This window comes from Homo sapiens, chromosome 2 (genome assembly GCF_000001405.40).
Source record: "Homo sapiens chromosome 2, GRCh38.p14 Primary Assembly".
In the NCBI taxonomy this organism is placed as follows: domain Eukaryota; kingdom Metazoa; phylum Chordata; class Mammalia; order Primates; family Hominidae; genus Homo; species Homo sapiens.
In genome coordinates, this window is record NC_000002.12 from 102,222,483 (window position 1) to 102,240,085 (window position 17,603).

Consider the following 17,603-nt stretch of genomic DNA (forward strand, 5'->3'; position numbering starts at 1 on the left):
TGATAGGCGATGAAATGGAAACTCCCGGCTTGACATTCAGGGCCTCCTGATCTACTTGTTCCCACTCATTTCCCAGTTGTCACCTTCATCTACCCCACAGAACAGAGAGCCAGATCAGAGACAAAGGTGGGTCTTTTGTGAGCTCATATTGTGATGAAGTAGGTGAGTTTGAGACAAGTGCAGAAATGTGCGGTAGGTCAGTGAGGACAGGTTGAAAACCTGTTTTCACCCAAGCAGAGCCTGCTGGCGTTTCCTCCCTTCTGACTTTCCATTGGCTTACAGCAGAAATGCAGCCTCGCTTAGGCCAGAGACAGAGACTCAGGGTCCACCCCAGAGAAAAGAGAAGCTGTTGTAAGAAGCCTTGGAGAGTCCAGGAGACCTGAAGTGGTTACAACTTAAATCTGTCCCAACCTAGAAGTTTGAGTTCTTTACTGAATAATATAGACTGAAGCTGACCAATAGCGATTTCCATCCCAATACTGACTTGTTGAACTTTTTGAAAGCACTGTGTTCCGAAGGATTCTGAGGCCAAGTCCAAGCTCAGAGGAGCTAATGCTGTGACCAGTTAGTTAACACCTGTCAAGCTTGTGGAGGGATGGAGTCCTTTATCCCCTTTGTTTTAAGCTCATGCTTCTTAAATCCCTTAGTTCCTGGCAATGCTCATTTTATCTCAAATGTAGAGTATTTTGGTTCTGTTGACTTAGTTTTGTTTGTCCTGAGTTCCTAGGAACTTCACCCTTTTAAATCCAAACCTCTTGTTGGTTTACTTGGGGACAGAGCTAAGGTTATAGCTTCTCCATTTGACTTCCTTATGTTTGTTAAAGACACCTCCAGATTTGAATCTTATTTGGTTTTTCTGAAGCAGGGTCTCTAGAAGGTTGTTTAAATTGGGTGTGCTCTTCCGTGAATTCGCGTATTACTTATGCTCACTCACCATCTCAGTTGAAGGCTGGTAGTAGTCAAATGACTCAGATGGTGAATACCACCATTAACCTTTAACAGGACATCTAGTACATCAACAGTGGGCTCCCCATTTATTTCTATTTCAAAACCCTGAGTCCCTCTGAATGTATTCATTGATGTCCTGTTTCCAATTTCATTCTCTTTTAGCTCGTTTACAGAGCAGAGGGCATCAGTACTCTCGAAGGCAATGAGTGAAGAGCCCGAGAATTTTAGAGCATCACTCCTGTCTATGTGCCAGAGGCTTTCTGAGCCTCATTAGTATTGTGGGCATGGTCTTCTTATCAGGACAGTTAACAAAACCAAGATCTCCAAAACAGACACTAAATATTCCCAGACACGAGTCGTCCCAAAGGGAGAGGTGGCAATGTTACCCCTAGAAAGAATTATAACAAAGGGCAAAGAAGAGTAGAGGATGAGGAAGCAGGAAGGATCTGTCTTATGATTGAAGTGAGAGGTTCTCACAAGTGCCCAGGATTGGATTGGGCACCGGTGTGTGGTGCAGTGCGTCTATACTGGCTGCATTGGGACTTACTCAATGAATTAATTTTTTTGGCACCAAATGTGTTCTTAGTTATTGTGCCATGTATTTAAAGATGTGCAATAGTAAATGAGAAATCTTGGGCCTCAAGATGTTTACAACACGGCGTGGCCTAGGGCAGGTGGCAATAAGCTCTTTAATGAGTATTTTATAGCCACTGTGGAAAACATTATAGTGGTTCCTCAAAAAACTAAAAATATAACAACCATATGATCCAGCAATCCTACTGCTGGTTATATACCCAAAAGAAAGGACATTAGCATATTAAAGAGATATGTGAACTCCCATGTATATTGCAGCACTGTTTACAATAGCCAAGATGTAGAATCAACCTAAGTGTCCATCAATGGATGAATGGATAAAGAAATTCTGTCATAGATGTACAATGGAATATTATTCATCCATAAAAGAGAATGAAATTCTGTCATTTGCAGCAAAGTGGATGGAACTGGAGGCCATTATGTTAAGTGAAATAAGCCAGGCACAGAAAGACACATATTGCATATTTTTACTCATTTGTGAGAACTAAAAAAATTGATCTCATGAAGGTAGAGAGAAGAATGGTGGTTACCAGAGGCTGGGAAGGGTAGTGGTGAAGCGGGGATAAAGAGAGGTTGGTTAATGGGTAAAAGAAAAAAATACAGTTTGATAGTAGGAATGAGATCTAGTGTTTGGTAGCACAACAAAATGACTATAGATAGGAATAATTTATTGTATAATTCAGTATAACTAGAGGAATGAATTTGGAATATTCCCAGCACAAAGAAATGATGAATGTTTGAGGTGATGGTTATCCCAATTGCCCTGATTTGATCATTACACATTGTATGCCTGTGTCAAAATATTACACATACCCTATAAATATGTGCAACTATTATGTACCTATAAAATTTTTTTAAAATTAAAGTGCTCTAGAGGCTCAGAAAAAAAAACCCTCTTCCTCCCCTCCTCTGCCCACCCCACCATCCAGTGAGGACTGGAGGATGAGGAAAGGGCTGAAGAAGGAAGTGGTGTGTGAGGTGGGTTTTAAGAATGGGGAGGACTTTTCTTCCTGTCTCTCTCTTCCCCTTTTCTAATTCTTTCCTTCCTAGAGGGTCTTCTTTGGTGGTATGGGTTTGGGCTGCGGTGAGGCAGAAGCCAAGCTGTTCCTTTTCTTGGATGTGTAGGAACATGTTTTCAGGGACTTGAGGTTCCAGAGGAGCTGGTTCTGCTCCTTGGCCATCTCCTGCCCACCACTTAGGCTCATAATTACTCTGCAATGTACTCATGAAACAGGCTAGGGTGTAAACATTCTTTCTGAGACTGTGCCTCTCGCACAGGCACCCAGCCTGGAAATCAATGGCACAGAAAGGATGAGGTGAGAGTTTGGCTCTTGGCCTGTCTTGTGGAGCCAGCCATGCTGGCTTCCAGAGGGGACAACTGTTGGCTCTTTAAGGATGATGGGAGTCCAGCTGTTCAACTTTGAATGGCTGGGAAAGCAGTTACAATATGATTGTAATCAAGAAAGGGCAGCAGAACCAGCTGGAGAAGGTGCCCCATGAACATACTCAGGCGCCACCTCTGGACAGTCTCATGTTGACTCAGCAGAACCTGGACGTGTGTGTTTTGAAAGCAGTTCTCGTCCAGTTGGGTCCATGCTGCGTCTACCACCGGAAACTAGGGCTCTGCAGACTTTTACTCGTATAAGTTCCCAGGAGCTGACTTGTTTCCTAACAATCATGGTGCAGATCAGATTATTCTGCTCCCATACCACTTTTTTGACTTTAAAGAAATGTTTAAGCAGTGCCCTCATTGACATCCAAAACCTTTCCATTTGGCATTCATAATGTGATCTGTATTAGTAAAGTATATAATGGACTCTTTGTTTCATTATTATAATTATAATTATTATTATTTTTTTGCTGTCATTTGTAGCTCCGGATTTTCGAGCTTACTTGATAGGAGGGCTTATCGCCTTGGTGGCTGTGGCTGTGTCTGTTGTGTACATATACAACATTTTTAAGATCGACATTGTTCTTTGGTATCGAAGTGCCTTCCATTCTACAGAGACCATAGTAGGTAAGTGTGTGTAATCACTGAAAAATGCCTCAAAATTGGTATCCTCTTATACATATACAACGATTTCAAATATACTTTGTCATATTTTACTACGTTGTTGGCAAATTTAGGGAAAGGAATCTCCTTGGAACTGCCTGTGCTTTAGAGAAATGATTTGTCCCTAATCACCAGCATCATTTGGTCAGATAAGGCTTGCAGGCTCGTAGTGATTGAGGAAATATTTGCTAAGCTGCAGGAGGAGATCATCTTCTAAGTCCTGCTGCAACCATGTTACAAAAGTTTCCACGTCCATCCTCCGTCCACTGCGGGAAAGTTTCTCCGAAACCAAAGTGCTCTCCATCCATGATGTGTGCTCAGCACAGTGGGTACTTTCTCAGAATCTGGGTCATGGAGAGGGATGAGCTGCCTGCGGTTGGAGCTCTCTCTAGGCCCTGTACTTGGTGCCTGAAGGGATTTAAGTCTTCAACTCTCAGATATGGAGAGAGATCAAACCAAGTTTGAATGTGACTTCTCCACTTACTCCCTATGTAAACTTAGAAAGATGTTTAACTTTCTTCTATTTCTCAGCTATAGAAAGGAATAGAGGAAGGAAGGAAGGAGACAGGGAGGGAGGAAAGAAAGAGAGAGAGAGGGAGGAAGGAAAGGAGAGAGGGAGGGAAAACGGAGGGAAGAAGGGAGTTTCGTAGAAAAGAAACTAAAGAAAGCAGGGGAGAGAGATGGAGGAGAAGGGAGGAAGGGAAGAAAGAAGGAAGGGAAGAAAAAAGAAAGAAACAAAGAAAGGGACAGTGATTAAATCCTGCTTTTTGACAGTGGGAATAACTGAGTTGAAGTACAGGGAAGCATTCAGCGGGGCCTGGGCCACAGGGCGGCCTCTATTGCTTGTCTGGAGGTCAAAACAAATCCCCAACACCACAGCTGTGGGTTTTAGTCTGTGGGCCTATGTCCTGCCAGTGCTGTTTGGCATAGAAATGCCTCAGTGTGATCCTGACTCTCTGAGAGCCTGGCATTTCCCACCATGGTGCTTGTGACTATGCTACTTTTGTTTTGTTTTGTTTTGTTTTGTCTTAGAACAGATACAATCTATTAAGGCCTTGCAAAAGTAATAAATCTGCTCTAAAGTCCCCTAATTAGATGAAAAAAGAAGCCTGGTGCAGCTGATCTGTGTGGAGATGCACGACTTTATACCTTTTAAGTCCAGAGGCCTGAGTGACAAGAGCAGGAAAGGGAGGGAAACTGGTTGTCTGAGAACGTTTTATGGGCCAGCTAAAACATAAAAGAGGTCACTGGCATCAAGTGCTTGCTTTGCACATAAAATACACAGTACGGTTGTTGCCCACATGTTTGATAAAACGTGGCTATTCACTAACTTGGATTTTTTCCAAATTAAATTTCTGAATTCAGAATTAGCAACCCTGAGCAATGTAGAAAGCGATAAACTCCTTTTTAATGACAAAAGTCATCTGAACCTTAAGTGTCCAGTGCAACCTGAAGTGCTGCTAGTACTGTGGATAGTCCGACTGGGCATGGGGAGGGGGTCTCTGGTTTTGGCTCTGGCATCTGCAGAGGCCGCCCCGTCTAAGCACACCCATGACTGCTCTCTCCTGCTTGCGTCTTTGAGAAGAAGACAGTTCAGTCCCCCACCACTGATTGTTTTCTGACACAGAGTTGAGTGGTTCAGTTGCTTTCTACTTTTTGACTAACAGAAGCCTGCGTCACTTTACGTATTCTTCCTGGAAGCTCAGGCCCCATGGTGTGTCTCTCTCACTGTCTCTCTCTCTCACTGACTCTGTCAGTGACTCTCTCACTGAGTCATTGCGACTCCCAGGAGCGTGACTATAGCTGTGACTTATGGGTGTTGTGCAGTGTGTGGGGAAGCTGCTAGTGAGGTCGAGTTTAGCAGGAAGAGAAAACAGGAATAGTGACTCACACGGAGTAGTGGGGGCTGGGCAGATGAGAGAGTTAGGCAGCCCCGCCCTCTGCTGAGACTGGGACGCAGCCCAGATTCTGCAACAGTGGGCAGAGGATTTGGCGATGGAGGCTAACAGGCAGCCAGGGGTCCTTTTTTTCTTTATTTTTATTTTGCTTAATTCAGAAAAGTATGTGTGCATTTTGTGATGAAATTCTCTACAGCTCTGTCTACGAGAACTGCCCTGTAATATCTCTGTGTGTTGGCTTTAACAGTGAGCTACTGATGAGATTCTGAGATTAGTCCCAGATCTTGTTTATGTCCTTGTTCCCCTTGAGGATATTTTCTGAGTTAAATCAGGAAATACCGATTAATGGATGAAAATGAGAAAGAGAGAAATAATGTCCTTCGTAGGATAAGTCATTTACCCTGACTAGGTTAGCTAAGCTGTATCACTCAATTAATAATTAGGTGTGCATGACTCACCATTTTAGAAGGAGCCATTGACAGCCCTAGCTGAAGTCAGCAAGTTCTGTATCTTCTCTAGCAAGCCACTGGAGCTTTACAAATTCTCCTGGCAGGGGTGCATGTGTGTACGAGGATGGAAGGGTCTGTGCACGGATCTCCTAGAGAGATTTGAAAATGCCTCGCCTTACTCCAGATAGGTCTTTGGAGAATGTGCATGTAGGATAGAATGGCTAAAACGAAGACAAGCCAAACAGTTAGAGTGATCAAAGGGAAACCAAGGGGACAATGGGAAAACAAGTCGGGGTAGAGTTAATGACACCTTTAACAATTATTAAAGGTGAATTTGCTTTTCAAGCTAAAGCAAAGGCAATGACAAGATCCACTGTGTGCCATTCACAACAACCTTTCAGATTTTCATGAGAGAACATGGCTTTTTCTGAGACTAATTTCCAAAGGCAGATTTTTTTTCCCCCACAGGGAGTCCTCATTTCAAAAGGGCATGGTGTAGGGAAGCTTGACTGCAACAACTTTCCCATGGTAAATGTCATAGCGTGTTTTGTGTGGCTTTTCTTCTAGTGTTTTCTATGCATATTGGGGGTAAACCCACCAAACCTCCTGCAGTTCAGTAAAAGCATTTGCGTGGAGGCCAGATTGAATCTGAATTTTCCACTGTTCTGGTTTCATCAGGCCTAAAATTTAGCAATATCATATTGAGAGAAAGTAGGGAATTGAATAATCTTTAGACAGTATTTCATAGATATGAATTTATGTGAATGAGCTTTTATATATTATTGCCAAGATCAAGAAGGACATAACAATTTTAAGGGAGTGGAAATAGACTCTGCTTCTTTGCTAGGGTGTGGCAAAGTTCTGGAAGAACATGTGGGACTGGAAATATTGCTGGGGCTACTTTTGGAAAATTCAGACTGACACAGCTGCACAGGACTAATCAGGGATTAGTTTTGTGAAATTTCCTGCTCCCATTTCTCATTTTAGTCACAGCAAAAGGAGCGGTGGACCTGGGTTTACATCAAGGCTATGCACTCACCAGCTGGGAGACTTTGGAGAGATCGCACAGTCTTGCTGGTCTCAGCTTCCTTACTCATAATTTGGGGATAGAACCATGTCCCACACGGTTGATCATGAGAAGCAAAGCCGGGAAATGTTGAGGTGCCGTTGCCTGGCAAGGCTCTTCAAAACCAGTGGACTACAACTTGATCTCTTGCTATTAATGTATTGGTCAGTAAATTATGAATTAGTCATTTGAAAGTGATGAAAAGTCACTACGTTTTGAGAACATCAGCAAGTTCTATTTCTACTCAAAAGCTTAGTCAGACAGAAAGAAAAAAAAGATGACCAAAAAATTGGGCACATTTGTACATTTTGAATTTTTCAAAGGTGTGAGACTTTCTTCCTACTCAAATGTCTTCTGATCCTGAAGTTGGAGAGCAACAAGTACCTATATCCTCAGACACCTTGTTTAGAAACAGGGAACAGGGAACATTCGCAAAAGAGAGAATACACTTAGCACACAAGGTTTGTTTGTTTGTTTTAAAAATCAGAAACAGTAGGAAAAAAGAGAAACAGATTGAGAGAAGAGAGATAACTAGTGGCAGGGTCTGGGACAAGTGGCAATAAGCCTGCATGTCTGCTGTAGTTTAGAATAGACCAGGAAACACTGTATTTACCAGAGAGGTTATTCTCTGTGGTGAACCGAGCATCAACTCACCCAGCCCTTCATCAGAAACCAAAGGATTAATATGATCACATTTTTAAGTGGGAAAATTGAATTCCTTCTCCAAAAGTTCAGAAACATAAGAAACTTATGAAATGTTTCTTTTCCCATTTTCTATCTATGGAAAAAAAATCCTCTGGCTTTGGAAAGTCAAATGTGTGCTATGAAATTTCACACAGAAAAGTATCCACTTATTTGAGCGGTGGCCCTGATCAGTGACCTTTATGATTCCACAAGGAGTTTCAGCTATGTTGGGTTTTTGCCAATTCAAGACACAAATTAGTTATCCCTTTTGTACCTGCCCTGTGATCCCACTTTAAAAAGCTGAGTCTGATCTCAGATTCATCCCCAACATAGATATAAGCTCTTTGAGCCTCCGTAAAATCAAGCTTCATTTGGATATTCGGTGAGCACTGATGAAGGCCTCCTCTGCGCCCGGTCCTGCTCCAGTGGCTGAGGGCAGGGCAGGGAGCCAACGAAGTCTCCACTCTTACACAGCTTCCTTTCATGATGGGGTGGGGAGGCAGACAAGGAGTGTGCACGTGTGTGTGTGCATGCGTGTATATGACTACATGTGCAAGCATGGGTGTGCATGCATGTGCATGCGTGTGTGTTTGTGTTACCATTCTCTGTAAGAGATGGCCAAGAATGGTGAGCAGGGACCCGAAGGTCAGCAGTGGTTGGTGTGAGAATTGATGGACTGAGAAATGGTGTTATGTAAACTGTCAAGATCTGTGCACATTTTCATTACTATTATTTGGACGAAAGCTAGAAGAATACAAGGTTTTCCTTTCCCTTATTAATCTTAAAATCACCTCTTTCTGCAAGTCTGCTCATCCAACAAACTCTCATATAAAGGAAATAGAAAAGGACACCACCCCTCTCTAGTACCTACTAGGCTGTCTGAGTTTCTAAACAGCCCAAAGCTCGAAATCGCGTTTTCCAATGAGACGCCCACACTTACCTCTTCTTCCACTCAAGCCCTCTGGCCCTGCTGAAGTCCTTATTCATTCACAGGATTCCTGAGTAGGGAATTATTCCTCCTTCCATGCCCTTCTGAAGCTGCACCCCTGCAAGACTGTTTACCATCCACTCTTAGACCCTCACTTTTTTCCCCTCAACTCTCCCACCCTTTAAAATCCAGGAGCTCCAGCCTGGCCAACATAACGAAACCCCGTCTCTGCTAAAAGTACAAAAATTAGCCGGGCCTGGTGGCGGGCGCCTATAATCCCAGCTACTCAGGAGACTGAGGCAGGAGAATCGCTTGAACCTGTGAGGTGGAGGTTGCAGTGAGCCAAGATGGCGCCACTGCACTCCAGCTTGAGAGACATGAGTGAGACTCCATCTAAAAATAAAATAAAAAAATAAAATAAAATAAAATAAAATCCAGGAGCGGTCCCATGTTCATTGTGAGTTTTTTTTTTCAAGAACTCCAGACCATGGGGATTTTTGATTCTTGCTGTCTTTTCTGTTCGTTTGACTCTCGTCGCCTCGTAGAGTCTTGTGTTTAACTTCTGTGCATGTGGATGGTCTGCCCAGTGAGGTCTTGTTCATCTCTTCATTGGCCAATGCAGGGGCTGCTTTTGAGGTTGCTCAATAAATACTGATGACGACGACATGCGCCATTGGGTTTGACTTCTCTCAACGGCACTGCAGATTACTAGAGTCTGCTCAATTGCTTTTTCTCTTGTTTCACAGATGTGAGTCTGTGGGTTTGTAGTGATGGAATTCACTGGTGGGCCTGAATCAAGAGGGAGTCATCCAGTTTTGCCTGGTGCAGTTAGGACAGTGCTTCGTCATACAGGACACGCTGAGGGTAACATGGGTAAATGGCTAGAGTTTCCTGCTTTTTGTTTGTTTATTTTAGAGATCCTTTTTTTGTTTGTTTTAGAGATGTGGTCTTATTCTGTCATCCAGGCTGGAGTGCAGTGGCGTGATCATAGCTCACTGCATCCTTGAACTCTTTTTTTTTTTTTCCGAGACAGAGTTTTGCTCTTGTTGCCCAGGCTGGAGTGCAATGGTGTGATCTCGGCTCACTGAAACCTTCGCCTCCCAGGTTCAAGCGATTCTCCTGCCTCAGCCTCCTGAGTAGCTGGGATTGCAGGTGCCCACCACCATGTCTGGCTAATTTTTTGTATTTTTAGTAGTGACAGGGTTTCACCATGTTGGCCAGGCTGGTCTTGAACTCCTGACCTCAGGTGATCCACCTGCTTTGGCCTCCCAAAGTGCTGGGATTACAGGCATGAGCCACATGCCTGGCCACATCCTTGAACTCCTAAGCTCCCATTTCAGCCTCCTGAGTAGCTGGGATTTCAGGCCTGAGCTATCATGCCTGGCTAACTTTTTGAAAATTATTTTCTTTGGAGAGTCTTGTTATGTTGCCGAGGCTAGTCTTGAATTCCTGGCCTCAAGCTATCCTCCTGCTTCAGCTTGTTTATTACAGCCATGCACCACTGCGCTGGACGAGTCTTCTGCCTTTAATTCTCATTTCTGGCCACATCACAGGGAGTGGTGGACTTAGACTCAAAAGACGTGGGGTAGGGGTAGGGTTAGGGATTGCAGATGTGATGCAGCCTACCCAGCCTCAGCTTCACTCTTGAGCATTGGGGATAAGACCACCTCCCTCAGGGGTCCATTTGTGAGAGGAGATGATGTCCCTTGGCAGCCCCTGGCACCAAGTCAGCCAACTGGGCACTCAGAAGTCATGGAACCCAGGCCAAAGGACACCATGGTAGCCGCTCAGGCTTCCGGTTTATTAACATGAGAGAATTTGGTAGCAACAATTCCACAAGCTTGTCCAATTCCTTTTCAGATGGGAAGCTGTATGACGCCTATGTCTTATACCCCAAGCCCCACAAGGAAAGCCAGAGGCATGCCGTGGATGCCCTGGTGTTGAATATCCTGCCCGAGGTGTTGGAGAGACAATGTGGATATAAGTTGTTTATATTCGGCAGAGATGAATTCCCTGGACAAGGTGGGTTTTAAGTGAGGTGTAAAAATAACAAATAAAAGAAGGAAAGCGACCCCTCTGTTCCTCCACTTTACTAATGGCGGTGACTCTGCCTGCCTTCCCCATGGAACCACAGAGAGTCTATGACCAGCGCCCCCTGCCCGTCAGCCCCCAGCCCCCAGCCAAGGAGGTTAGGCCCAAGCTCTTTGCCTGCTCTAGGCTCCTCCCTGCCCCGCAGTGCCTGAGATTCCTGCTTGCAGCAGCACGCGTCTCACTTTGAGTGAGGATATGGTTAAGCCATTCACAGAAACAGGTGGCCAGTGATGTAGTGGTGGCTAAAGGACTGAAAGGTGGCGAGTGGTCATTTGAGCCTCACATCCCTGAGATGAACTGCTGGGTGTTTTCCATGGGTTTGAACAATGTAAATCAGGTCGTGCTTAAAGCTGATTTTATAAACCTCGACCCTACTTGCCCCCTCCCCTCCCTAAATATAATGGAAGTTTTAGTGTACTTTTCCCACTTGATAGGAAGGTGGCTTTGGACAGTTCAGTTAACTTCTCTCAACCTCAGTTGTCTCATCTGTAAAATGGGGATGGGGTGCTTCCCTGACTCAGATGAGAGAACTGAATGAGAAAACCTGAGAAGGGGTCCCCGGCATGGAGCTCAGCACACTTTAGACACTCACACAACAGTGCTTTCCTGTCCCTTTGTTCTCCTTCTTGGAAGGCTATACAGCAAAATGGCTGAAATCTGAAATAAACATTCTTTTCTAGTCACCAGTAAATGCCAATTCACTCACTTATTCAACAAATATTTACTGAAAACCTCTATGTGATGGACAGTATTCTAGGCACTAGAAATATGAAAATCAGCCAAGCGGAAGGGCCTGTCCTCAGGGAGGTTCCAGTCTATTCTTATTTCCCATGAGAGGCAACTGTAGACTGAATAGCATCTGCAGAGCTGGGTATTTAGAGAAACCTCCCTTTCCCAAGCAATCATCAGGGCATGTTATTTGGTTTCTAAATTACTCACATAAATCCTGGTCATTTAAATAACTATAAAGAACAAAAGGAAAACACAGATTCAAGATTAATGCAACATTTCAGCTAACTACATTTTCCTATCCTTTTAAAATCTATTTTTAAAAACGTGTTCATCTGCTAATATACACCAGACCTTCAGCTAGTCTGGGGATACAGAGTTAGGAACCATCAGATACTTGTTGGCCAGGGAAAGTGACATACAAAGAAACCACATGCAAAACATGATTCATGACTATAGAGGACCAAGGCTCCAGGGAAAGCCACAAAGGCTTCACAGAAGAGGTGACAAATATTAAAAAAAAGAAAAAACCCAAAACTTGAATTAATCCATTCCTGACTAAGTCATGTTTATTTTAAAGTCCATTTTTGGCCAGGCAAGGTGGCTCACACCTGTAACCCCAGCACCTTGAGAGGCCGAGGTGGGCAGATCACTTGAGGTCAGGAGTTCAACACCAGCTTGTGGTAAAACCCCGTTTCTACTAAAAATGCAAAAATTAGCTGGACGTGGTGGTACGTGTCTGTAATCCCAGGTACTTAGGAGGCTGAGGCAGGAGAATCGCTTGAACCTGGGAGGTGGAGGTTGCAGTGAGCTGAGATTGCATCCCTGCACTCCAACCTGGGCAACACAGTGAGACTTCACTTCAAAAAAAAAAAGTCAATTTTCTCCTGGCCTGTTTCAAACATTCTCACTAGCATTAAGACCCGGGCTGTTTTAATTGTGAGTTCTTCTGAGCCTTCTTTCTTTATTTCCAGCCGTGGCCAATGTCATCGATGAAAACGTTAAGCTGTGCAGGAGGCTGATTGTCATTGTGGTCCCCGAATCGCTGGGCTTTGGCCTGTTGAAGAACCTGTCAGAAGAACAAATCGCGGTCTACAGTGCCCTGATCCAGGACGGGATGAAGGTTATTCTCATTGAGCTGGAGAAAATCGAGGACTACACAGTCATGCCAGAGTCAATTCAGTACATCAAACAGAAGCATGGTGCCATCCGGTGGCATGGGGACTTCACGGAGCAGTCACAGTGTATGAAGACCAAGTTTTGGAAGACAGTGAGATACCACATGCCGCCCAGAAGGTGTCGGCCGTTTCCTCCGGTCCAGCTGCTGCAGCACACACCTTGCTACCGCACCGCAGGTGAGCGGGTGGGAGGACACGAGGTTTGTCACGCACTGATGGAGGGTCTATCATTGCGTGGTGGCTCACAGCTGGAGGAGGACACGTTTCATCGGGGCCGTCTGCTCTGAAGCTGGCAGTTGCGTACTAGTGAGAGGATCTGTTGTGTTTGTTGTCATTTGTTTGCTTCGATCAGAGCTGCTTCTTCAGGGAAACACACGGCTTCTGCAGAAGGCCCTCTTTAGCCTATGGGCTTATTGACACATGCCCACTCACTGAGGCCTGGATGGATACAGCACTTGGGCCCCTTGAGAACAGGACATGGAGGGTTTTAGAAATGGCAGTGGACATGCCCGGAAGTTTGCCCATGATGTGGCACCCATAGAGTCTGAGATGGGAGCCTGTGCTGTCGGGGGACCACAGGAGGGCAGTCTAGCACCAGGAGAGGGTTGGCAAGGATAGCAGTATTTGTCCACGCCTGTCCAGTGTCTTCAGGGCCCCATGCTCAGGGGTCATTTGCTGTGTCTGCGTCTCTCTCACTCTGTCAGTGCAGACAAAGAGCTGCAAACACAGCCTTAGCACTTTGCTTCCAGAAGCAAGTTAAAAGTCACCTAGACCAGTGGGGACCCACGGGAGTGGCCATGACTGCCTCTTGGTCACCCTTCCATGTTTGAGAGGCTTTATCTGTCAAACTAAAGCAAGCAGGAATTCCTTTTCTCTCTCTTTTAGACACATGTCAACCAGAATTCTGAGCAGCCTGTGAGAGACGCAATTAGCACACAGATGATAGAATTATAGTCCAAGCAAGGCAAAGTCAGTTTCCAATGAGCCAATGTGCCCTTGTCACAGGCCAATTTATAACTTAATGATTAAAGGTTTTTAATACTAAAAATTAGCTGTAAACCCTCATCACTTTTTTCCAAGACCCTGGCCTGAGGGAATTAGGCATAGCTCAACCTTCTGAAGCTGTGGGTTGTTGACACTGAGACTTAGTAAGCAGTCAGTGGGGGCTGGAAGGGAGTCAGCCCTGAGAGCCAGCCGGCAGGGGCGAGAGAGGGAGCCAGAGGGTGTCAGGAGGCCTGTGGTCTTAGGATGGCATGGGGAGCAGGGTGGGTTAGGAGGTGCTGTGCCCTCGTTCACAGGCGATGGGTGGTACCCAGTGTGGGATGGACTTTCAGGTGCTAAGGAACCCACTCCTGTCTTTGAAGAGTTTATGTTCCAAGGTGACCTCACATTACACATTTGTTTAGCATCCTATGGAGGCCTCGACTTGACATTGGTCCACTCTTTATTTAACATTTGCTTTTTAAAATTTTTATTTCGGTAAACTATATGAACATAAAATTCACCATTTTAACAATTTTTAAGTGGCATTAAGTACATTCACACTGTTGTGCGGCCATCACCACCATCCATTCCAGAATTGTTTCATCCTCTCAAGCTGAAATTCTGTGCCCATTAAGCTATGCCTCCCTATTGCCTTCCCATTGCCTTCCCATTGCCTCCCCATTGCTCTGAGGTAGGACATAAAATACATTTTAAGAATAACAGCATTAAAAAATGGCTACTATAATTCATTACTACTATTACATTTTTGATACTTTTCAATAAAAAGAAAGTAGTGACACATGTTGGAAAGAGGGAAGCTTTTTGACTTATAAAACTCCAGTTAAAGAATTTACCAACAGTGCTGGTCTCCGGGAAGTCAGAGGTTTCCAGAAAATACCTTTTCGTCTGACGGGTCAGCTTTCTATTTTGCTGACAGCCTCGACTGATGTCCTGTGAGTGTGGTCATTCATTTATAAATAATTAATTGCTAGAGAATCCATTTTCTAAAATTCACAGGCACACCCTTCAGAGAGGACACGTCCCCGTACCTCTCCCACTCTCCCCACACTGTGGCTGCCTCTGGCTGCCTCCATCCTGCAGAGGGAAATGGCTGGGAAGGAAGGGGGAAGGGTGCTGAGATGCCCTCAAATCTGAATGGGGTGGGTGTATTCCCCAAATCCTCACCAAACCACGAGCCAGTGACCACTCACCCTTTGCGGTCCAGATCTTACTGCCCCGGGGTTAGTCAAGTGGCCAGAGGTGGTGCCCACTGCCCTCAGGGGGTTTCCTGGCGTGGCCTGGTCTCACATGCACTCCGCAGAAGGAAGGACGAAGCGTCCTCAGCCAGCCCGCAGCCACCCTGCCCACTCCAGCACTGCAGGCAGCCTTCAGAGACCAGCCCAGAGAAGAGAACGGCAGCGAGTGAGGGGACAGAGTGCGGAACAGATCAGTAATGCCCATTTTCCTCTTGGGTGCAATAGGAGAAACAGCCTGTTTTAATTAAACTAGCGAATCCTCCATGAGGAATAACGACTCTCATGTTGGAGAGAGAAATCGAGATGCAAAGAAACTTTTTAAAGTTCTACTAATTCCTAATGAAATAATAGGGATGCAATGCAGCAAGAATACAAATAATTGAAGTAGCCTGGCATCACCGCTGACATGTAGGCAGGTTGGCAGGTAACAGCTCCGCTCATGGTCTCAAGTCCAAATTTGTATAAGAAAGGAGGTTTAAGAGTTCAACGGCTAAGGGACAAAAAGGTAGTTTATGGGAACGCTGAAGGCCACCCTCAATTCTCTCCCGTTTCTCCAGCTGGGCTTGGCGCAAATATGAGGTCAATGGGGTCCTATCCCTAGCCCTTGGGGGTGGGCTCCAGAATTCTACTCCAAGCAAAGTGAAGTCAGTTTCCAAGGAGCCAGTGTGCCTTCATCACAGGCCAATTTATAATTTAATGATTCACAAAGTTTTTTAATACTATGAATTAGCTGTAAACCCTCATCACTCCTTTCCAAGACCCTGGCTTGAGGGAATTAGAGACCCCCCTGGGAATCCCCAGGGACTGACCTGGAGGTAGGGCTGCGAGCGGAGATTGGACCAGAGAGGTGAAATACAGGTGCTGAGTCGCTGGGTTACCTTTACATTCACCTTCCCATAATGACTGAGTCAGCCACAAAACCCACTACCTTTGGTATCTCCCCTCAAATACCCTGAGTCGGCTCATGAGAGAGGCCCTGGGAAAGACCCAGTCACATTAAATAAAGGGACCGGGAAGGTGTGGTCTTTCCCCGGAGGACCAAGCAAGATGAAGATATACATGTGAAAAGTGCTTGGCAAACCGTGGGATGCCATGAGGAGCTGGCCTGCCAAAATATGGAATGTGCTCAGGGAGCCTCAGTCCCCAGGGCCCCCCACACCCATCAGCACCCCATAGTGACGCAGACCACTTCCTGCCACGTCATGGTTGGTTGACCTTTCCTCGGCACTTGGTCCTGTTTTTTATTTATAAACTTCCCTCTAACACATGCTTGTTTGGTATTGATCTGGGGCTGTGTAAAGTGGAAAATTCCTTCCTGGTTTCCTTGAAGAACAGAGGCTGTTCCAGATGAGGTCTGGAGTGAGCTACAGAGGGTGATGCTGGCTTTAGGAGTGGTGGCTGCTGGGTCTGAATGTTAGAGGCCACACATCTCCAGTAGTAATATTATTCTGGGAGATGGGAACTCTGTGTGTGGATGTCCCCTCCCATACACCCAGGAACTTCTGAGAAATGCTGCTGTTCACTAATACAATTCCACCCTCATCTCCCAGGCTGTCCCTGGAGAGGAGCTCTCCACTTGAGAAGGACCTCAGAGCCCTGGCTCTTGTCATCCAAATTCACCTTTCCTCTGGGGCTCTTATAGGAAAGGTGAGAGTTGACACTGCTCACCTGTGATCCTCTGGCATAACCACCTTGCAAAGATAACCCAAGAGAAATGGAAGCCTCAGGGATATACCACCAGATGAACTGACGGCAAGGTGGAGGTTTTCGCATTCCCATGGCAGGTTTCCTTATCAGCCCCCATCTCCCACCACATCAGAAAAGGAGTAAATAGATCTTTCCTGATTTCAGGCCCAGAACTAGGCTCAAGAAGAAAGAAGTGTACTCTCACGACTGGCTAAGACTTGCTGGACTGACACCTATGGCTGGAAGATGACTTGTTTTGCTCCATGTCTCCTCATTCCTACACCTATTTTCTGCTGCAGGATGAGGCTAGGGTTAGCATTCTAGACACCCAGTTGAGCTCAGGCGTAGAGAAGAGGAGGATGGGATAAGAACTGGGGCCATCCCCATGTCATGGTGGGTGAGAGCTGGGGCCATCCCCGTGGTCATGGAGGGTGAGAGCTGGGGGTTATCCCCATGGTCATGGAGGGTGAGGGCTGGTCGGGGGAGGCATCCCCAAGTCATGGTGGGTGAGAGCTCGGAGCATCCCCATGTCATGGTGGGTGAGATCTGGGGGTATCCCTGTGTCATGGTGGGTGAGGGCGGGTGGTCATCCACATGGTCATAGTGGGTGAGAGCTGGGGGTATCCCTACATCATGGTGGGTGAGAGCTGGGAGCATCCCCATGTCATGGTGGGCGAGATCTGGGGGGTATCCCCACGTCATGGTGGATGAGAGCTGGGGGAATCACCATGTCATGGTGGGTGAGATCTTGGGGGATCACCTGTCATGGTGGGTGAGAGCTGGGGGGATCACCTGTCATGGTGGGTGAGAGTTGGGATTCATCCCCATGTCATGGTGGGCTGAGCCCACATGGAAGCCTGTGCTTGGACAGCGTATGCCCTTTTCTCTGTTTTTCCACAATGAACAATTAAACTGTAAATGTTAAAAATATCAGTAATTTGTGAAATAAATTTTATTCTCATTTGAGCAACATAAATCACAATTTTGTTTGTTTACCATGCCTGTCAAAATCACAAACATTTTCTTATCAGTTTAAATAATGAAAACTGATTTCTGCTA

The 17,603-nt window shown here is 45.6% G+C and overlaps 1 protein-coding gene across 19 annotated transcripts in view, besides 3 other annotated features; it reads left to right on the forward strand.

Moving 5' to 3' along the window:
- The window catches only part of IL1RL2 (interleukin 1 receptor like 2), a 56,114-nt gene that overhangs the window by 35,510 nt on the left and 3,001 nt on the right, over positions 1 to 17,603 (forward strand). For 7 of the 19 annotated variants that reach the window (NM_001351447.1, NM_001351448.1, NM_001351449.2 and 4 more), the window contains 4 exons: positions 3,416 to 3,559; positions 10,481 to 10,642; positions 12,415 to 12,795; positions 16,710 to 17,520. In NM_001351447.1, the coding sequence (NP_001338376.1) occupies positions 3,416 to 3,559; positions 10,481 to 10,642; positions 12,415 to 12,795; positions 16,710 to 16,759 (737 nt within the window). In that variant the 3' untranslated portion in view covers positions 16,760 to 17,520. Of the gene's footprint in view, positions 1 to 6; positions 127 to 3,415; positions 3,560 to 10,480; positions 10,643 to 12,414; positions 17,521 to 17,603 lie in introns of those variants that run through there. The other 12 variants (XM_011512091.2, XM_011512093.2, XM_011512094.2 and 9 more) reach the window with 7 other exon arrangements.
- Positions 12,360 to 12,860: an enhancer, noted in NCBI's record as "H3K4me1 hESC enhancer chr2:102851302-102851802 (GRCh37/hg19 assembly coordinates)". NCBI's record gives its function as "activates a minimal SCP1, AML or CMV promoter by ChIP-STARR-seq in primed H9 embryonic stem cells {active_cell/tissue: H9 hESC(primed)}" and the evidence as "EXISTENCE:reporter gene assay evidence [ECO:0000049][PMID:30033119]".
- Positions 12,861 to 13,361: an enhancer, noted in NCBI's record as "H3K4me1 hESC enhancer chr2:102851803-102852303 (GRCh37/hg19 assembly coordinates)". NCBI's record gives its function as "activates a minimal SCP1, AML or CMV promoter by ChIP-STARR-seq in naive and primed H9 embryonic stem cells {active_cell/tissue: H9 hESC(naive and primed)}" and the evidence as "EXISTENCE:reporter gene assay evidence [ECO:0000049][PMID:30033119]".
- Positions 15,233 to 16,432: an enhancer, noted in NCBI's record as "CDK7 strongly-dependent group 2 enhancer chr2:102854175-102855374 (GRCh37/hg19 assembly coordinates)". NCBI's record gives its function as "activates an origin of replication core promoter dependent on BRD2, BRD4, P300/CBP, MED14 and CDK7 cofactors, with strong dependence on CDK7, by STARR-seq in HCT116 cells {active_cell/tissue: HCT116}" and the evidence as "EXISTENCE:reporter gene assay evidence [ECO:0000049][PMID:35650434]".